Raw genomic sequence first — 20211 nt, forward strand, 5'->3', positions numbered from 1 at the left:
CAAAAATCCTCATGCTTAAAAGGAAGCTCGAAGCCCCAGTGTGGATTTGTTATGCACCCAATACGCTGTTTGTGCTAACTACATAATGAAGATGAGGCGGGGTGATCCGGACACAGACCTGGACACTCTGACCTCTGGCACAGAATTGGCTACAGGAGTGCTGGGGGAGAGAGGCAGCAGGGTAGCGGAGTCATATCAAGCAACAAGAAACACAAGTTAGTACATTTTCCACAAATTTCAATTTTACTCCCTTCCCTCATGATACACACATACAAAGCATTTGAAGGATGGGAAGAAGAAGCTGAGATCACAGGGAAAATAGTAAGAGACATTCAGAAGGGCTGGTCTTAGAGATTTACTAGTTTGGGGAGGTCAGAGAACAGTAGCATATGAAAGAACGCTAAGACAGTTCCCAGGGTTAGGCATGGGTGACTAGTTTGATTATATCATTTTGTCCCACTCACAATGACAAGGAGAATTACTGAGGGAACACATGATGGGGCTGATAGAGTGCTAGGAGGTGGATACATGAAAATGTAAATGTCATCATTTTGAACACCCATGGCACTCCAAGTGAGATTCCCTAACATATATGATATACAGACAGATATATGAGTTTGAAACTCTAGAGGTGAATGCGAATTTAGGAATCCCTGGAACACAGGTCATGACTTCAGTAATGGGAGTCAAAGATTACTCAGAGAAAGCACAGAATGAAAAGAGAAGAAAGAAGTAGGCCAAGGAAGAAGAGATTGGAGGAGACCAAGGCAGGGTGATAAGATCAAAACAGAAGAAAGGAATCTGATGGAAGTCCCATTAGATTATCATGTCCCTTCCCAGAGGATAGGGACATGCCTTTTTTGTCTTTTATACTCAATTATCACAGGGCCTGACACAGAAGCCACTCAATGTTTTTTTAAATTGGGTTCTACTATTCACAGTTTGCTGTATCCACCAGGGGAGAAAAAAGTATAAACAAGCACAGATATGGATTTTTTTACACTGTGTACTAAAGGGGCCAGATTATACACAGTATTTTATGCCTTACTTTTTTACTTAATATATCTTAGAAGTTTGCACATGCTTATGGAAGGACTGGCTGCATTTTTTGGTCTACAACAGAATACTCTATTATAAAACTATACACTATAATTTTTATTTAACCAACTGTTTATTGGTGGACATTCAGAATGGAGGAATGTTTCAACAAGGGAACAATCAACAGTATCAAAATACTGCAGAGGGGTCAATTTGGGGACTAAGAGAGGAGACACTGGATTTGGCAACTAGGAGATAAATTTTAGTGCAATGATGAAGGCAGAATCCAGATTATAATGAATTCAATGAAAAAAGCTGAAGACATATAGATTATCTGCTCAAGAAACTAGCTATGGTAAACTGGCAGAGGCTGTAAGAGTGGGAGGTGAGTTTTCTCCTTCATGTAAATATATTTACTTTTATAAACACTAGGCCCAATTTTATATCCTACTTCATTTAACTTTATGAACATGTTTATGTAATGTTTTAGTAAAAAATAACTCATTTTTGCTATTATAAAACTGTTATCTTTAGATGTTCAGAAGCAACTTCCTAAAAGGAGGTAGCAATAACAGAGCTATGTCTATCATTCTTTCCCATCAACCCCCTTGCTGGAGAAGGAAACATGTGTCCATCTAGCTTTTAATTAATTTTTACCTCTTATCTTCATGGCTCTCCATATAAAACTTAACTCTTTTTTTGGTATATGTGTATGTATATCTATAACTAGAGAGAGAGACAGAGAGAGAAGAGGGGGTCTTGCCATGTTGCCCAGGCTGATCTCAAACTCCTGGGCTCAAGCAATCCTTCCACCTTGGCCTCGCAAAGTGCTGGGATTACAGGCATGAACCACTGTGCCCAGCCTCAGCCTTAACTCTTAAAATATCTTCAAATCCCTGTTCTTCATTTCTTAAGAATATATGCGTTTAAACCAACTATAACTTATTTTGACAAAAACTGGAGTTAAGACCCAAACTTCCTCAGATGGTCAGTTCTCCTAAGACTATTTACAGAATAATCTATCTTTTCCCTATTAAGTTAAAATACCACCTTTGTCTTATAAAATTCTCATTAGCATGACTCTGGTTCTAAACTTCTATTGCCTTTATCTGTCTGGCCCAGGGCTATTCCACAATATTTTATTTAATATCTGGTTGAACAAGTCTATTCTTTATTATTTTTTATTATTTACTCTTCTACACAAACTTTAGAGTCATTTTTTCAAGTTCCAAAAATAAATCTGCTGGGTTTTTTTTTTTTTTTTTAAGACAGGGTCTCACTCTGTCACCTAGGCTGGAGTTCAGAGGCATGATCTCAGATCACTGCAATCTTTGTTTCCAAGGCTCAAGTGATCCTCCCACCTCAGCCTCCTGAGTAGTTGAGACTACAAGTGTGTGCCATCACACCCAGCTAATTGTCATCTACCCGCCTCAGCTTCCCAAACTTTTGGGATTACTAGTGTGAGCCACTGTGCCCAGCAGAAATTATATTTATAAATTAATATGAAGACATGGTGATAATTAACATATTTATAATATGAAATCTGCTCATCCAGGGACATAGAATGCAAATCTTTCATTCCACTCAGCAAAATTTTGTCATGTTCTTGATAAAAGTCCTGCACATCTAAGTTTATTCCTAGGTATTTAATTTTTGCTGAAATACTTGAAAAAATACTTTATCACTATATCTCCTATGTGATTATAGCTAATATTGGGGTAGGCTATTGATTTTTCAGTAATGGGGCTTTTAACCAGCAACCTTAAAAATTGTTGTCAGTTGGTTCCTTTGGATATTTTTAGGTAAACAATTATGTCAACTTAAAATAATGATTGTTATTTTTCTATAAAGATTATGACATCATGGGAAAATACGGTAAATGCTTTTTTAAAATTTTTAATTTTTAATTTTTTTAGAGATGGAGTCTCACTCTGTCCCCCAGGCTGGAGTGCAGTGGCATGATCTCGGCTCACTGCAAGCTCCGTCTCCCAGGTTCACGCCATTCTCCTGCCTCAATCTCCCGAGTAGCTGGGACTACAGGTGCACCAGCCACCATACCCGGATAATTTTTATATTTTTAGTAGAGATGGGGTTTCACCGTGTTAGCCAGGATGGTTTCGATCTTCTGACCTCATGATCCGCCTGCCTCGGCCTCCCAAAGTGCTGGGATTACAGATGTAAGCCACCATGCCCAGCCTAGTAAATGCTTTTTAAAAGAATATAAAACTATAGAGAATATGACCTCAACTATTTAAAAATATGTATAAGGGTTATGTATTTTACTAGCAAAGAAAAAATATATACTGGTAGAAAATAGCCATCATGTCAACAGTGATTATATTAGGTAGAAAAATTATGAGAGACTTTAATTTTTTTTCTTTTCTATATTTTACTATTGATTGCTTATGAGTTTTATAAGCTTATGGTTGCTTATGAGTTTTATAATAAAGGTTTTTAAAATTTTTGCAACATGGAAAGTTATACTTCTTTATATACTAAAAACAAAAACAAAACTTTCTATTTAAATACCTTTGACTTTTACTGCAGACTTACAGACCCTTGAAAGAAAAGGCAATTCCCTCGCACTAGTTCTGGTGTGACTCTACCCATCTCTCCCTTCAGTTCCACCTTGGTCTTTTTTCTACCTCCCACCTTGGCTAGTCATCTCTACCCAAAATGCTTGCTTGGCTTAATGGTTAGCATTCAGGAAAAGGAGATCTTGAATTCCTAATCTAAACTAAGGTTATACATGTGGGAAATAATAAAGAGAAACCAGGTAGTAAATAAGATTTGAAGGACTTAAAATACCCAGACTTTAATTCCTCTAAGATTATAGTCATTAATCATGCTTTTATATCATATTATCTCTTAACATTATATCATATTATCTCTTAACATTTAATTTCTAAATATAATGTTCATGAGGAAAAGAGAAAATAGCTTGGCTTCTCTCTTCACTGAATGGTTGTTCTTAGTATCTTCTAGATGTTCCAGAACTGATGTCAGATTTGGCTCGTCAGAGTCCACAAAACATATTGGTGAGAAAGATGAAGAGGATTCCTGTTTAGCACAGAGACACCTATGTTAAACATTTACATACAGACTAACCCAAATATGCAATTAAACCACACCACTAAATGGCAAGATTAACATGGATTTAAACAAAATGTATGGGGGGGAAAAGGCAACACATTAAAACCAATGTGAGGAGTTGGACTTTTGAGGCAGCCATTCTCTTTGCATAGCACTGTCTGCTACTACAGCTCATAGAAGTCAATAATTTTCTTCAGCACTGGTAGGCAGCCTCTAAATGGCCCCAATCACCCTCACCTCCTGGCATTCACACCCTTGTAAAATTCCCACCTCTGGACCTAGTGACTCACTTCTAACAAAGAGAATGCAACAGAAGTAATAACATCACTTCTGAGATGAGGCTACAAGGACAAAACGATGCCTGCCTTGGTCACCCTTCTCCTGCTCTTTCCATTGCTCCCTCTGATGGAAGCCAGTTGCCATGTGATGAGGTGCCCTATGGAGAGGCCCACGTGACAAGGTATTGTAAAAGCCCTCTGACCAATAGTCATCTAGAAACAGAGGCCCAGTACAACAGCCTGTGAGATAAATCCTGCCAACATATACGTGAGTGAGCTTGGAGATGGATTCCCTCCCTATCCTGCCTTGGGATGATCATAGCCGCCACCAACACCTTCACTGCCTGGTGAGAGGCCAAGCAAGTGAACCCAAGGTAAACTGCACAGAATCCTGACCCACAGAAACTGTGAGATAATGTTTGTTGTTTTAAGCTGCTAAATTTGTTACAGAGCAATAGATAACTAATTCAAACACCATAAAATTCTAATATTTTATTCTATCACACAAACCAAGTAATACCAAGAAATGCCATTGCTATACATGTATTTTTGGAACACAATTACATGTGATTTTTTTTAAAAAGCTAATGAACTAAGCATTATGTGCTTTTACCACTAACAGACATTTACTCTGTTACTTTCTACTGTTTCCTATTATAAATTGGGGAGAAGCCATTATTATTATATATTAGCTTCACAACAACTAGGTTCAAGTCATGGAAAACAATTTCGCACAAACTTTAGGAAACACTGCTTTGAAAACTGTAATCTGAATTATAGCTGAAGCCACAGAAACCAATTATTTACCAAAGGTTCTTTTAAGAAAAACAAGTTGGCCGGGCGTGATGGCTCATGCCTGTAATCCCAGCATTCTGGGAGGCCGAGGTGGGTGGATCACGAGGTCAGGAGATCAAGACCATCCTGTCTTGATCAAGAAACCCTGTCTCTACTAAAATAAAAAAAAAATTAGCGGGGCGTGATGGCATGCGCCTGTAGTCCCAGCTACTCAGGAGGCTGACACAGGGGAATCACTTGAACCAGGGAAGCAGAGGTTGCAGTGACCTGAGATTGCACCACTGCACTCCAGCCTGGTGACAGAGAAAGACTCTGTCCACCCCCCAAAAAAAAGAAAAAAGAAAAACAAGTTTTCTGGAAGGAGGACATCATTAACAGTATATCTCTTCAATAATGGTTTATTTTACTATTCTCATTCTTCTCATTCCTCTCTTACTATGTCCCAAATCTCTTTACAGGCTAAAAGAAACTCTTCAGAATTAATCCTATTCATGAAGAACACCACTTACTGAGTATTGCATTTTCTTCTTCAAATTCTTCAACATGCATTGGGAATACACCCTATGGACCATTTTTATGTGTTTAGTTTTGGGTTGTTTTTTTTTTTTTTTTTTTTTGGCTAAAGAAACTGCAACTAGATTTAGGACCTCATTCTATTAGGTTAGTATTTGTCTAGTAAACTTCAGCATAAGCAAAATAAAATACGTGTTGTTATTCTGGACTGAAACCCCTCAAAACCATATTTTAAAAATTATAAAAATAAATGAACTGAAATCATGTTTTTAAAAATCTTGTAGATGAAAAGATATGATATATAGTAGGTTTAACTACCTATTTCAACGGTTCCCAAAGTGGGGCCCTCAGATGCCCAGGTCCAAACTATTTTAACAGGAACACTAACATGGTGACATTTGCTTTAAGGGTGCAAATACAATAGTGGGTAAAAATGCTGGTACTTTAGCACAAACAGAGGCAGTAACACCAAACTAGTCATGGTATTCTTCACTATGCACAGGAAAGGTTTAAAAAGGAAGGGCAGGCTGGGCATGGTGTCTCACGCCTGTAATCCCAGCACTTTGGGAGGTGGAGGCAGGTGGATCACCTGAGGTCAGGAGTTTGAGACCAGCCTGGCCAACATGGTGAAACCCTATCTTTACAAAAAATACAAAATTTAGCTGGACATGGTGGTTGTATGCCTGTAGTCCCAGCTACTTAGAAGGCTGAGGCAGGAGGATTGATTGAGCCCAGAAGGTGGAGGCTACAGTGAGCTGTGATCATGCTACTGCACTCCAGCCTGGGTGACAGAATAAGGCCCTGTCTCAAAAATAAAAAGAATGTCTATGATGAATCAGTGAAAATTTTACTACATTTTTATCCTTGAATATGTCTTTTTAATATTTCAAGTGATGAAATTGGAAGTACACATGAGCATTTCTACAGACTGCCTGAGAAAAAACCCTCGTGTGACTAAGTCGTGAAGTGAATTAACCACTTTAATGGAATACCATTTTTACTTGAAAGGATGACTGACAAACAATGTTATTTCAACTTGGGTTTTTGGGAGACATTTTCTCAAAAAAATGAGATTCTGTCATTTCAAGAAAAACAACAGGCAGGCCATAATAAAATTCAATAATAAAATTGCTAATAATAAAATTCAAGCTTTTGAACAAAAAATTAGTTTTAGAAAACTTATATCCACCATAGCTTTCCAAAAGTATTCTGATGAGATTGATGGTGATATTGATGAATGTATTTTGATATTGTATAATCAAACGTATCAACATGTAGAAGATCTTGAACCATTATTTTCTAAATGACCAATGCATGATGTTGTAATATCATGCAAAGGTAAAAGATCCAAAGTTCAAGAAAAACCAAGTTTTGATGGAGTATCAAAAAAGAAGCCTAGGCAACATGGCAAAACCCTGTCTCTACAAAAAGATACAAAAAATTAGCCAGGTGTGGTGATACACACCTGTAGTCCCAACTACTCTGGAGGCTGAGGTGGGAGGATCACCTGAGTCCCCGGAGACTAAGGCTGCAGTGAGCTGTGATCACACCGCTGCATTCCAGCCTGGGCAACACAGCAAGACCCCATCTCAAAAAAAATTAAAAAAAAATATATATATATATCTCCACAATGATCTAAAATGGCTATCTGTATAAGATTGGACATTGTTCATGTTTTTTAAAGCAAATATCACACAATAAATTGAATGCAGATGAAAATGACATACCAAACATCAAAGAAATTTGCAAAAAATGTAAGACTGTGCTACTTTTGGTTTAGAAATGTTTTCATAAAAGCATTTATAACAATATGTGGTGAGCTTTTAAAGAATAGTTTAAATATTTCTGATTTAATTTCTAGTGATAAATACCAATAGATATAACCTACATAAACCAAAGCTCCTTGGGCCCTCAATATATTTTTAAGAGTATAAAGGAGTCCTGATTCCAAAACTTTGAGAACTGCTGCCTTCCCCTCCACTTTCCTTCCTTCCCTAGAATTTCTTCCTGGGAAGAAACATCCCTTTGCCATTCCATATTAACTTACAGAGTTCCACTGAGGCCAGTTTTGCTACCTCCCTCCCATCTTTCCACCTCCCTCTCTTGACACAAAACCTAACCAAAGGACTTTACCAGCCCACCCCATTTCCAGTGATTAGCTGTCAAGGTGGGCTAAGCCAAGAAAATCTGGGTTTTCTCTGAGACTAGCCCTCTCTTTCTGGGAGATTGGAATCACAGGGGCAAGGCTGGCTACCTTGGGATAGTCAGAATTCATCTTGCCTAAATGGGGAGAGGTTAGGCAAGTTTCTAGAAAGCCAAACTGCTTTCTAGAAAGTCAAAGATAATTATACTTTCTGCCACAACTGTGAGAATGCCCATTTTCTAACATTTTTACCAAACTGATAAATAAAAGCTGGTACCTAGAAGAAAAAAAGGCCGGGTGTGGGGGCTTACATCTGTAATCCCAGCACTTTGAGAGGCCGAGGCAGACAGATCACCTGAGGTCAGGAGTTTGAGACCAGCCTGGCCAATATGGTGAAACCCCGTCTCCACTAAAAATACAAAAATTAGCTGGGTGTGGTGGCAGGCACCTGTAATCCCATCTACTTGGGCAGCTGAGGCAGGAGAATTGCTTGAACCTGGGAGGCAGAGGTTGCAGTGAGCTGAGATCACACCATTGCACGGCAGCCTGGGTGACAAGAGTGAGACTTTGTCTCAAAAAAAAAGTTTCCATATAATATAATTTGTTCCATCTCTAGAAACCAATTCAGCAATGAGAACTGAAAGCCACCACTTGGAAGGTTTCAAGGATTCAGCTCTACCTATTGATGTCTAAAGCATTAGTTAAGGTAGAAACACACACACACACACACACATACAGCCTATGTATTCAGTACCAGGAAACATGACGGGCTAGATGGTATAATCATCCAACAGAAAGCGCACAATAACTGAAGCCACTGCAGAGGAGTAAGTTACGACACGGATCTACAATATTGTTGAGTGAAAAAGCAGATTACAAAAAAAATCTGATTTTTCAAGGGAGAGGGAACATATACAAGCATAGGAGAAAAGAGATGAGCAGATGACTGGAAAAATACAAAATTCTGATAGTGGTACCTTCTGAGTGGTAGAATTATCAGTAATATTTTCTAGTTTTGCCTAAAAATTTTCTAAATTTCTTAAAATAAGGTTTTGTTATCCATATTATAAAAGATCCACCACCCCAGGAAACTTAACCTTCAGCACAAACTCTACAACATGTTCAAAGTTTGTTCAGTTTAATATTTAAGAGACAATCTATTTTGAAAGACATCTAAAATGATGACCAATATTTAAACCTATGCATTAATATTTTTCAATCATATGCTTTAAATTTTGTAATTTTGATAAGGTTAAGCTTTATATCCACCTTGAAAAGGTAAGTTTTCTATTTGTCTTCAAAATATGACCTAAAATAGGCCAGTTTTTAAACAGCGAATGGTGCTCAAAAACCGCAATATAAATTCAGGCAGTGTTCCTTACATAGAATGTTTAAGTGCTTCTAACACTGCTGTTTTTCACCAGTTATGAAAACACATTACAATTATCTAAGCATCTAATTATTCAGGTCCCTTGTTTCTCCTCCATTCTATCAGTTTTATAGTAATTTTAAGGCCTGTGAGGATGAAGTTGTCTGTGATGGCTACCACAAAGGTTACTATAAGTGGACAAATTTCCAACAAGTTTATCTCCACTACCATCCCCACCATAAAACTGTCTTGATCAAGGGCAACACATTTCAAGGTTAACCAAGACAACCTCTTTACCTGTCACTGCTCAAGAAAAGGATTTTTTGGTCTTATTTAGAATTAACTTTCTGTATCTATTTTTCTCCATAAATCCACTGAGGCCAATGTGTGGCTCTATCTCAAGCTCCAGCAAGCAAAACTGCCTGCCAGAAGGTTCAGTTTTTGTATCTTTCCAAATGTAGGACACAGCTCTCTTTTGATATCATAATTATTTGAAAATTGATGCACAAACTTCTTCTTGAAAGTTCAGCCAGGCACAGTGGCTCACGCCTGTAATCCCAGCATTTTAGGAGGCAGAGGCAGGTGGATCACGAGGTCAGGAGTTCAAAACCAGCCTGGCCAAGATGGTGAACCCCGTCTCTACTAAAACCACAAAACTTAGCCAGGTGGGGTGGCAGGTGCCTGTAATCCCAGCTACTCGGGAGGCTGAGGCAGGAGAATCGCTTGAACCTGGGTGGCGGAGGTTGCAGTGAGACCAGATCGTGCCACTGCACTCCAGCCTGGGTGACAGAGTGAGAATCCGTCTTAAAAGAAAAGAAAAGAAAAAGTTCAGATATACAGCAGTTGTAATTCTTCTGAAAGCTAGTTATGGGACACATTACTTTCACACTTTGCTGTTCAATAAATGTGGGGTGGAGAATAAAGTAAACTGACAGAATTACCATATAAAATAAAATTCTAAGTGCTCTGACAACAAAAGAAACTTAAAACACACACACACACACACTCTCTCTCTCACACACAGTTTTCCCTGCTAATCATTTTACAACTAAACAACCAAAGTAGCTAACCCAGAGCCCACAACAGCAGAGTAAAAATTCTAACACTTGGTTAAATAAAAATGCACATATACCGCTGTGAGCTAAAAAAAAATGCTTAAGCATTCAAAGACAGACAGCAATTACAGCTACTGAGAACATCATTGTAAGCAAACTGAGGCAGAGAAAACAAAGGTGCTGATGAGGAATTGAACCACCTAACCTGCAGAAACCCACTGGATGGTTTCCTAGGTTCCGAGTTGGCATTATCTTTCAGAGTGATTTCTAAAAGAGATCACATAATACTGTTACAAAGGATCTGGAGAAAGGGACCCTTGCTTTATCTCTCTGGCTCTCCAGTCATGCTTTACATTTTCACTTCTTACGCTCTCATATGAAATCAATTTACAGACTTCCTTCAAGCCCTTAGAGACCTTTTTGTACTATCCATGACAAGTTCTTGATGTAGCTCTGCACTTTTGACAAATTCTTAGCAGTTAACTTTCAAGGCAGTTAAGATTTCTGTTCAAGCACGATATAGCTAGAATAGGGTCATATACTCAATAAAACAAATATTTACCAAGCATTTACTGACTGGAAGATAAAAAGCACAAAGCATAATTATAAAATATTTTCCCCTGCCACCATAAAAAAAAAATTAAAAAGGCCTACAGAATATAGCATAACATGACCAAAGCAAAAATAGTGAGGACCAAAGAGGGGAGGAAGGGAAAATATCAGCATGAACTGAATATGACCCAGGAGAGCCTTGATGGTCAGACATGTAAAGACAAATTGGGTAGGGTGAAGGGGTGGAGGTCAGGGACGCATCCTACAGGGGAAAAACAGCTCACACAGAAGCCTGAAAGGAAAAGCGGGCAGACACCTGTACGGGACTCTTACCTGCCGCCTTGACTGTACAATGAGCCCTTCCAGAACACAGCAGCGCGCGGCCAGGCCCCGGGGAGAGGGATCGCTCAAACAGCACCAGAGGCTGCATTCCAACTTTTCCTCCGTCAACGAGGCCGTTTTCATTGTTAGTTTCTCCTTAAACACAAACTTAAAAACAACTGGCTTAAATCTACTATCGCATCTTGCGTGATCATGTTTGTGCCTTACAGTGACAGGCTGCAAACGATAGAAATTCAACCCAAACTGTCACAAGAAAAGAAGGAAAGGCTTGTAACTACTTAAACATATTGCTAATTAAAGATGTCTGGAAAATTGACTCAAAAACAAAAACAAAAACAAAACAACAACAAAAAATTGGCCGAACACGCGGGAACAGGGAAAACCTGACTGAAGAATGAGGCCTTAAAACTTAAGGGCCTTGGGTCCCGGCGCGGTGGCTCACGCCTGGAATCCCAGCACTTTGGGAGGCAGAGGTGGGTCATTTGAGGTCAGGAGTTCGAGACCAGCCTGGCCAACACGGTGAAACCCCCTCTCTACTAAAAACACAAAAGTTCACCAGCCTTGGTGGCGGGGCCTGTAATCCAGCTACTGGGGAGGCTGAGGCAGGAGAATCGCTTTAACCCGTGGACTGTCAAGAGACATAGGCTGCAGTGAGCCGAGATCCCACCACTGCACTCCAGCCTGGGCGACAATGAGACTGTCTCAAAAAAAAAAAAGAAAAGAAAAAAAAACTTTTTTTTTTTTTTGAGAGAAGTCTCGCTCTTGTCCCCCAGGTTTGAGTGCAATGGCTTAATCTGGGCTCACTGCAACCTCCGCCTCCCGGGTTCAAACGATTCTCCTGCCTCTGCCTCCCAAGTAGCTGGGATTAAGGCGCCTGCCACCACGCCCGGCTAATTTTTGTAGTTTTTAGTAGAAACGCGGTTTGACCATGTTGGCCACGCTGGTCTCGAACTCCTGACCTCAGGAGATCCGCCCGCCTCGGCCTCCCAAAGTGCTGGGATTACAGGCGTGCGCCACCGCGCCCAGGCAAAAAACGCGAGCATCTCAGAGGCCTTTTCCCTTCCGCGCCTGGGCTCAAACGACGCTGGAGCGCCCCGCCCCGCCCCGTCGCGGTCCCGGGAGCAGTCCCGCTGACTGAGGGCGACCATGGGTCCCAAGAGGGCTCCGGCCGCCGCGGGCTCCCACCTCGGTGCGTGGCGACGGCGGCCAAGAGGGGCCAGCGGCCCCCGAGTCAGCCCCGCGCCAGGAGCCGGAGAGACGCGCCCTCCGCCTCCTCCCACCCAAGCCTCGCGCAGTCCCGGGGGCGGGGCGGGGCCAGCTGAGGGAGGAAGGGGCGGGGACCCGGGGCCTCTACCCGTTAGGCTGCCGTTGGTCCCGAGACTCCCCCATCTGCGCCCCCGCCCTGCCCTGCGAGGCCGCCGCCGCGCGCCCCACCGTCTGTTGCAGTGGAGCGTGAGCCGCGGCTGCGGCTCCTGGTTCTTGTGGAAGGTAGACGCCAGCAACTTCAGCTTGGCCTTAACCCTGACAGGGACATCTTCCCTCATCTCCGGCGGGAGGGGCGCGGAAGGGGAGCCGCTGTCATGGCTGCGACCACCCAGCGGGACCGCCCGGCCGAGCGCTCGCGGCTTCGCCTCTCCCCGCCGCCTCAACCTTCGTGGGAGCGCGGATGGAAAATGGGAAGGGGCACCGAGGCCTCGGCGGGGAGCTGCGCGGCGGCCTCGGGGGCTGCTCCCTTTGCGACCGACGCCACCGATAGGAGGGGCGGCTCCTGTCAAGCCTCAGCTTAAAAGGGCAACAGCGGCCGGGCGCGGGGGCTCCCGCCTGTCATCCCAGCACTTTGGGAGGCCGAGGCGGGCGGATCACGAGGTCAGGAGATCGAGACCATCCCGGCTAACACGGGGAAACCCCGTCTCCACTAAAAATACAAAAAATTAGCCGGGCGCGGTGGCTCACGCCTGTAATCCTAGCACTTTGGGAGGCCGAGGCGGGCGGATCACGAGGTCAGGAGATCGAGACCATCCTGGCTAACACGGGGAAACCCCGTCTCTACTAAAAATACAAAAAATGAGCCGGGCGCGGTGGCGGGCGCCTGTGGTCCCAGCTACTCGGGAGGCTGGGGCAGGAGAATGGCGCGAACCCGGGAGGCGGAGCTTGCAGTGAGCCGAGATCGCGCCACCGCACTCCAGCCTGGGCGACAGAGCGAGACTCCGTCTCAAAAAAAAAAAAAAAGAAAAAGAAAAAGGACAACAGCACCACCGTCCCCGCTACCGCCTGGGAAAGGGCTGCCCCAACCCTGCCACCTTCCCTGTCACCCCTCAACCCGGCGCGCACCCGTTTTGGCGGTTGCACGAGTCCAGAGCGTGCGCGCGCTCCCGGCTGCCCCCTCCTCCCCTTGACCCAGCACCTTTCTGCCCGACCCATCTAGTCCCTACATTCCTCACACTCGCCTACTGGAGGCTCAGGGCGGCACAACCACCAACTGTAGTGTGTGTGTTTCTCCCGAGTGTGTGTGTGTGTGTCTCCCAAGGGAACAGAGCACTGCTGAGTTCAGGTTGATTATTAGGTCGTGGACTGTCAGCAAAATGCAGTCACAAGAAGGCTGTGGGCTGTTTTGTGTTTTGCGGTGACATCATGTTGCTCATGTTTTATGTTTTTCAGAGTTCATTAGTTTCTATTTGTTCTCAGTTAATATCCACCTCAATAGATTGCATAAGTAGAATACCCCCAAACTGAAAGTCACCTACATAAAGTGTAGTGAAAAATATGTCACCCACTTAAACTATAGCTTAAACTATAGTTGAAGTTGTGTACACACTAGTTTTGTGTAGCCAACACTAGGTAATGGGTAAAGGCACAGGATCCTGGGGCTCTACTGCCTGGTTCAATTTCCAACTTTGCCATTTGCTGACTGTGAAATACTAGACAACTTTAAGCCTCAGTTTCTTTCTTTTTTTTAAACTTAATCCCAAATGTGATAGTAAGTCTCAGTTTCTTGATCTGAAAAACAGAAATTATTCAATGAGAGTCTGTGAAAACATTAAAGTTTTTAAAGCCACTGCCTGGCTCAGGAAAGTCCTCAGCTTTAGCCGTTATTAGCTATGATAATTATTGTGTTGGCTACACGTGCATTAATGAGGTAGGAAAATGCTCAAGGATAACAACCAAGTATCCAGATTATCTCATGAGACCGAGAGAGATGCATATGTGTGCATGCTCATGTTTCAGCTCAGAGCGCTTTGTCTAGAAGGCTCTTGAACTCAGAGGCCCAGGCACTATCAACTTGACTTTGCAGTGGAGGCATCACTTTTGTTGATCAATGAAATTGACATAATGCTCATTTTTTTTTTAGCACCGACCATGTGCCGAGAGCTAACTGTGTCAAGAAGAGCATGCTTCAGTTGGCTGGAGTGAGCAATTCAACTTGTGGAGGAGTGAGAAATGTTAGTGTTGAGACAAGAAACGTAAAACCCCAGGGTAAGGTAGGAATCAGTGAAAGGCAGAGGAACTGCCGTCCAGTAATGAGTTAGGCTTTGCTGGCTTCTGGCCCTACAGATGACTCTTTGGAGAGGAAAAAATTAAGCTAGGCCCGAGGGCACAGATCCTAAGGGAATGCTGGCAGCCTAGGCTGTCTATGGAAGAGAAGCAGAGGGTGGCACCTGGTTGAAAGAGGGGGTTGGGGGACAGAGCTTGAGGCTGTGTTTACAGATGGAGTCCTCTGATTCCTGTGACTGGGGAAGGAGATCGTGCTGGATCAGGGCACCTCAAATCAGAACTCTTCCCACCCACACCCCTTCTTTTCAGGGCGTCTTTCATTGCAAACAGTAGATAAACTAGTTGGAAAACTCAGCAGATTCTCACGGTGGTGCCTAGCAGGCCAGGCCTAGCTGCCGTTTAAGCTGTGACTGAGGGTGATGCCACTGGCCTGTAAACACACATTGGACAATCTTTACGTCCGTGGACACGCCATGCCCCACAGAGACAGCTGTGCATGGTTCTTTAGGTTTGGGGTGCTGTGCTGGCAGTTGCCTGATAAATGTGTAGGATTAAAATGGGATGCCCTGGAGCTTAGCTAACCTTTATCCCCCCTCCCCCCTCTAAAATGAAGGGGCTGCTAGTTTTGTTTGCTTTATGAAAGATGGATCTGTTATTGTTTTTAGAACCTTTGGAGAAAGATTTGTTGGGAGGAAGCGATCCTGAACCCCCAGAGATTTTCTCATTTACTGGTGCACCAGCTTTCGAGTCCTAGGTCTTCATCCTGGCTCAGCCACCCTCCAGCTGTGTGACCTTTGAGAAGTTGCTTGACTACACTGAGTCTCATTGTCACCTATGAGTGGAGGTTGCTACATTGCTACTGTGTGGAGCACCTACCCCCAGCCACTCTTACAGGGTGATGGTGACGATTAAATGCAATAATAAGGCTGAAGGAGGAGGATCGCTTGAAGCCAGGAGTTTGAGACTAGCCTGGGCAACAAAGCCAGACCACATTTCTATGAAAATGTTTTTTTAAAAAATTAGCTGGACTTGGTGGCTTGGGCCTACAGTCCAGCTACTCGAGAGGCTGAGGTGAGACCACTTGAGCCCAGGAGCTTGAGGCTGCAGTGAGCTGTGATTGCACCACTGCACTCCCGCCCAGGAAACAGAGAGAGACCCTATCTCAAATAAATGAATAAGTAAATAAATAAAATAATAAAATAATGCATGCAATTAGTACACTAGTACATGATCAGGCACATGATAACTGCTCGATAAATGGTAGCCTCAGTAAACTTTATAATGTTTTAAAGGAGAATGTCCTTTGGACTCAGCCTTTCAAATGACAGAGCATTTGAAAAGACTGATTTGTATGATGGCTATTTCCTACAGATACAAGACTGTACCTCCAGGGACTCAAGGCATTGGCTCAGTGGGGCACCTTGTTCTGTTTACTCTTGTTTTGGTCAGCACCGATTGCCCTAGGGCTAAGCAGGGCTGCCACCACAGACTCAGTTGCCAAGAGTATCCCCCTCCCCAAGCTAGCCATGGGAAAGCCACTCGCATTGTAAGACTACAGGAAATCAAAGGGAATAAAAAGCACAATTTAGTCACCTACTCTCCAGTTGATGGGCAATAGGTTTTTGCTATTTTGAACAGAGCTGTTAGGAACATTCCTTGTCCACATCCCCTGTTTTATATAGGCAAGAATTTCTCTTCCACGTAGAGTAGAATTACTGGGCTAGGAGGAGTGTGAATATTGAACCTTATGAGATGGAGCCAAACTGTTTTCCAAAGTGGTCATACCAGTGTATACTCCCAGCAGCAGTTCTTAAGAGATCTCAGGATGTCTATCTTCTGGTGATTTCACAAGCAGTCAAAAAGAATGAACGCCAGCAATAAACAACAATAAGAACTTTAGCAATATAATATTGTGAGAAAAACAAATTCCAGAAGGATGCATACAGAATACTTTATATAACATGGAAAAGAAAATGTATAGACCCAGCATGGTGGCTCATGCCTGTAATCCTGGCACTTTGGGAGGCCAAGGCAGGAGGATTGCTTGAGGCCAGGAGTTCAAGACCAGCCTGGGCAACATAGCAAAACCCTTTCTCTACAAAAACTAGAAAAATTAGCCAGGTGTGGTGGTGCAGGCATGTAGTCCTAGCTACTCATGAGGCTGAGACGGGAGGATCTCTTGAGTTTAGGTGTTCAAGGTTACAGTGAGCCCATGATTGCACCACTGCACTCCAGCCTGGGCAACAGAATGAGACCCTGTTTGCAAAAGAGAAAAACAAGTAAATAAGTAAAATTTAAAAACAAAATGTGGGCTGGGCACGGATTCTCATGCCTGTAACCCCAGCACTTTGCGGGGCCGAAGTGGGTACCTTATGAGGTCAGGAGTTCAATACCAGCCTGATCAACATGGTGAAACCATGTCTCTACTAAAAATAGAAAAATTACCCAGGGTGGTGGTACGCGCCTGTAATCCCAGCTACTCAGGAGGCTGAGGCAGGAGAATCACTTGAACCTGGGAGGCAGAGGTTGCAGTGAGCCAGGATTGTGCCATTGCACTCCAGCCTGGGTGACAAAGCAAGATTCCATCTCAAAAAAAAAAATTATTTTTTTAAAAAGATAACATTGACAAACAAAAGGAAACATGACAACTGATACCACAAAAACTCAAAGGATCACTAGTGGCTATTATCAGCAACTATATGCAAACAAATGGGAAAACCTACTAAAAATGGATAAATTTCCAGACACATCCAGACTACCAAGACTGAACCGGGATGAAATCCAAAGCCAGAACAGACCAACAACAAATAATGGGATCGAAGCAGTAATGAAAAGTCTCCCAGCAAAGAAAAGCCTGGGACCTGATGATTCACTGCTGAATTCTAGCAAACATTTAAAGAAGAACTAATACCAACCTTACCCAAACGATTCCAAAAATAGAGAAGGAGGGAATACTTCCAAACTCATTCTACAAGGCTAGTATTACCCTGATACCAAAACTAAAGATACATCCAAAAAAGAAAACTACAGGCCAGGATCACTGATGAATATTGATGCAAAAATCCTCAACAAAATATTAGCTAATTGAATTCAACAACACATTAAAGTTGGGGTGCAGTGTCCCAGGTTCACTCAACCCTTCCCGTTTTCTTGTCTGTGTGTGTCTACTTTGCTCTGTTCCCTGGTGGCAGCGGCGGTGGCAATGTTGGTGCATGGGCCTCCTAGGACAAGGGGAAAGTGAGTATGCCCTTTTCTTGCTTCCTGCCAGGCATCTGCAGCCTGGCGCAAGCTCTGGCCAGGTCTTCAAGCAAGGTACCTGGAGATGTTCTTTTCCAATTTCTGGATTGGTAACTTGAGGCAAATTCTGGGCACTAGAGTCAGGACTAAGATGAGACTTGAATCAGGGGAGTCTGGGGTCCTGAGAGGCAGAGGCCTGAAACCATCTAGAGCATGTGGGGACCTGGGTGTGTGTTCAGGCCAGTTGCCTTTCTCTGTGCTTCAATGTTCCAGGTACCCTTGGAGGGACTGAGATCCTAGGGATTGCTGGAGCCTGGCTGCATGGCCTGGCCACCCTGATGCGCTTGCATTCTCCGTGACAGGACAGCAAGGCTGAGGAGAATGGCTCCCACAGCTTCATGCACTCCATGGACCCACAGCTGGAGCGGCAAATGGAAACCACCCAGAACCTGGTGGACTCCTACATGGCCATTGTCAACAAGACCGTGTGGAACCTCATGGTTGGTGCGAAGCCCAAGACCATCATGCACATCATGATCTACAATGTGCATGCACCGCCTCATGGGGGTAGGCGGCTCCTGTGGCACTGGGGATGCAGGTGGCCATGTTGGCCTGGGGGAGATGCTGACCAGCCCTATGGGACCAGGTCCAGGGAGGGAGGCATGGTCCAGACCAGAGCTGTCTCATAGAAATATAACATGGGACTGAGGACAGTGGTCCATGCCTGTAATCCCAGCACTTTGGGAGGCCAAGGCGGGAGGATAGCTTGAGCCCAGGAGTTCGAGACCAGCCTGGGCAACATAGTGAGACCTGGCCTCTACACAAAAATTTTAAAAATAGCTGGGCTTGGTGGTGGCACGTGCCTATAGTCCTAGCTACTCGACAGGCTGACATTAGAGGATCACTTTGAGCCCAAGAGGTTGAGGATGCAGTGAGCGGTGATCTCGCCCTCTATACTCCAGCCTAGCGACAGAGTGAGATCCTATCTCCAAAAAAAATTTGAAAAACCTGAGTAGACAGGTGTCCTGGTAGCATGATAGGTCCAGGGTCCCCTCCCAGATCTGTGACTTGCACAGGCGACCTTTCCTCTGGACCTCAGCGTCCCTATCTGAGTGAGAAAAGGGCAATGGGGAGGCAGATCTTTGAGTTTAAGCTGTGTAGAAGCCACATCTGAAAAGCCATACTCAGGGCTTCAACTCCAGCACACAGTCCCAGCAGGCGCCAGCGGGAGGCCAGGGCAGCACGGGCATCAGGACCCAAACTCCTTCCTTCTTTGCCCACTCTCAGACCAAGGAGTTCATCTTCTCAGAGCTGCTGTCCAACCTGTACTCGCGTGGGAACAAGGAGACACTCCTGGAGGAGTCGGCAGAGCAGGCACAGCGGCGCGACGAGATGCTGCTTCTCAGAGCTGCTGTCCAACCTGCACTCGCGTGGGAACGAGAAGACACTCGTGGAGGCGTCGGCAGAGCAGGCAGACCAAGGAGTTCATCTTCTCAGAGCTGCTGTCCAAACTGCACTTGCGTGGGAACGAGAAGACACTCATGGAGGAGTCGGCAGAGCAGGCACAGCGGTGCGACGAGATGCTGCTTCTCAGAGCTGCTGTCCAACCTGCACTCGCGTGGGAACAAGAAGACACTCGTGGAGGCGTCGGCAGAGCAGGCAGACCAAGGAGTTCATCTTCTCAGAGCTGCTGTCCAACCTGTACTCGCGTGGGAACGAGAAGACACTCGTGGAGGCGTCGGCAGAGCAGGCAGACCAAGGAGTTCATCTTCTCAGAGCTGCTGTCCAACCTGCACTCGCGTGGGAACGAGAAGACACTCGTGGAGGCGTCGGCAGAGCAGGCAGACCAAGGAGTTCATCTTCTCAGAGCTTCTGTCCAACCTGTACTCGCGTGGGAACGAGAAGACACTCGTGGAGGCGTCGGCAGAGCAGGCAGACCAAGGAGTTCATCTTCTCAGAGCTGCTGTCCAACCTGTACTCGCGTGGGAACGAGAAGACACTCGTGGAGGCGTCGGCAGAGCAGGCAGACCAAGGAGTTCATCTTCTCAGAGCTGCTGTCCAACCTGCACTCGCGTGGGAACGAGAAGACACTCGTGGAGGCGTCGGCAGAGCAGGCAGACCAAGGAGTTCATCTTCTCAGAGCTGCTGTCCAACCTGCACTCGCGTGGGAACGAGAAGACACTCATGGAGGAGTCGGCCGAGCAGGCACAGCGGCGTGACGAGACTCGCGTGGGAAGAAGAAGACACTCCTGGAGGAGTCGGCAGAGCAGGCAGACCAAGGAGTTCATCTTCTCGGAGCTGCTG

At 44.4% G+C, this 20211-nt stretch overlaps 1 pseudogene across 1 annotated transcript, besides 1 other annotated feature; it reads right to left on the minus strand.

Moving 5' to 3' along the window:
- Window positions 1–3822: 3822 nt before the first annotated feature.
- On the minus strand, window positions 3823–12467 carry UBE2Q2P13 (UBE2Q2 pseudogene 13; annotated as a pseudogene). Its single transcript, NR_168283.1, has 3 exons — window positions 12364–12467; window positions 11170–11325; window positions 3823–4098 (listed from the first exon to the last, which is right to left on the minus strand). The product of NR_168283.1 is annotated as a UBE2Q2 pseudogene 13 (transcript).
- Window positions 13148–13518: a silencer, noted in NCBI's record as "fragment chr15:102286622-102286992 (GRCh37/hg19 assembly coordinates)". NCBI's record gives its function as "represses an EF-1alpha promoter that drives an FKBP-Casp9 reporter gene in an ReSE screen in K562 erythroleukemia cells {active_cell/tissue: K562}" and the evidence as "EXISTENCE:reporter gene assay evidence [ECO:0000049][PMID:32094911]".

This window comes from Homo sapiens, chromosome 15, assembly GCF_000001405.40.
Source record: "Homo sapiens chromosome 15, GRCh38.p14 Primary Assembly".
In the NCBI taxonomy this organism is placed as follows: Eukaryota; Metazoa; Chordata; class Mammalia; order Primates; family Hominidae; genus Homo; species Homo sapiens.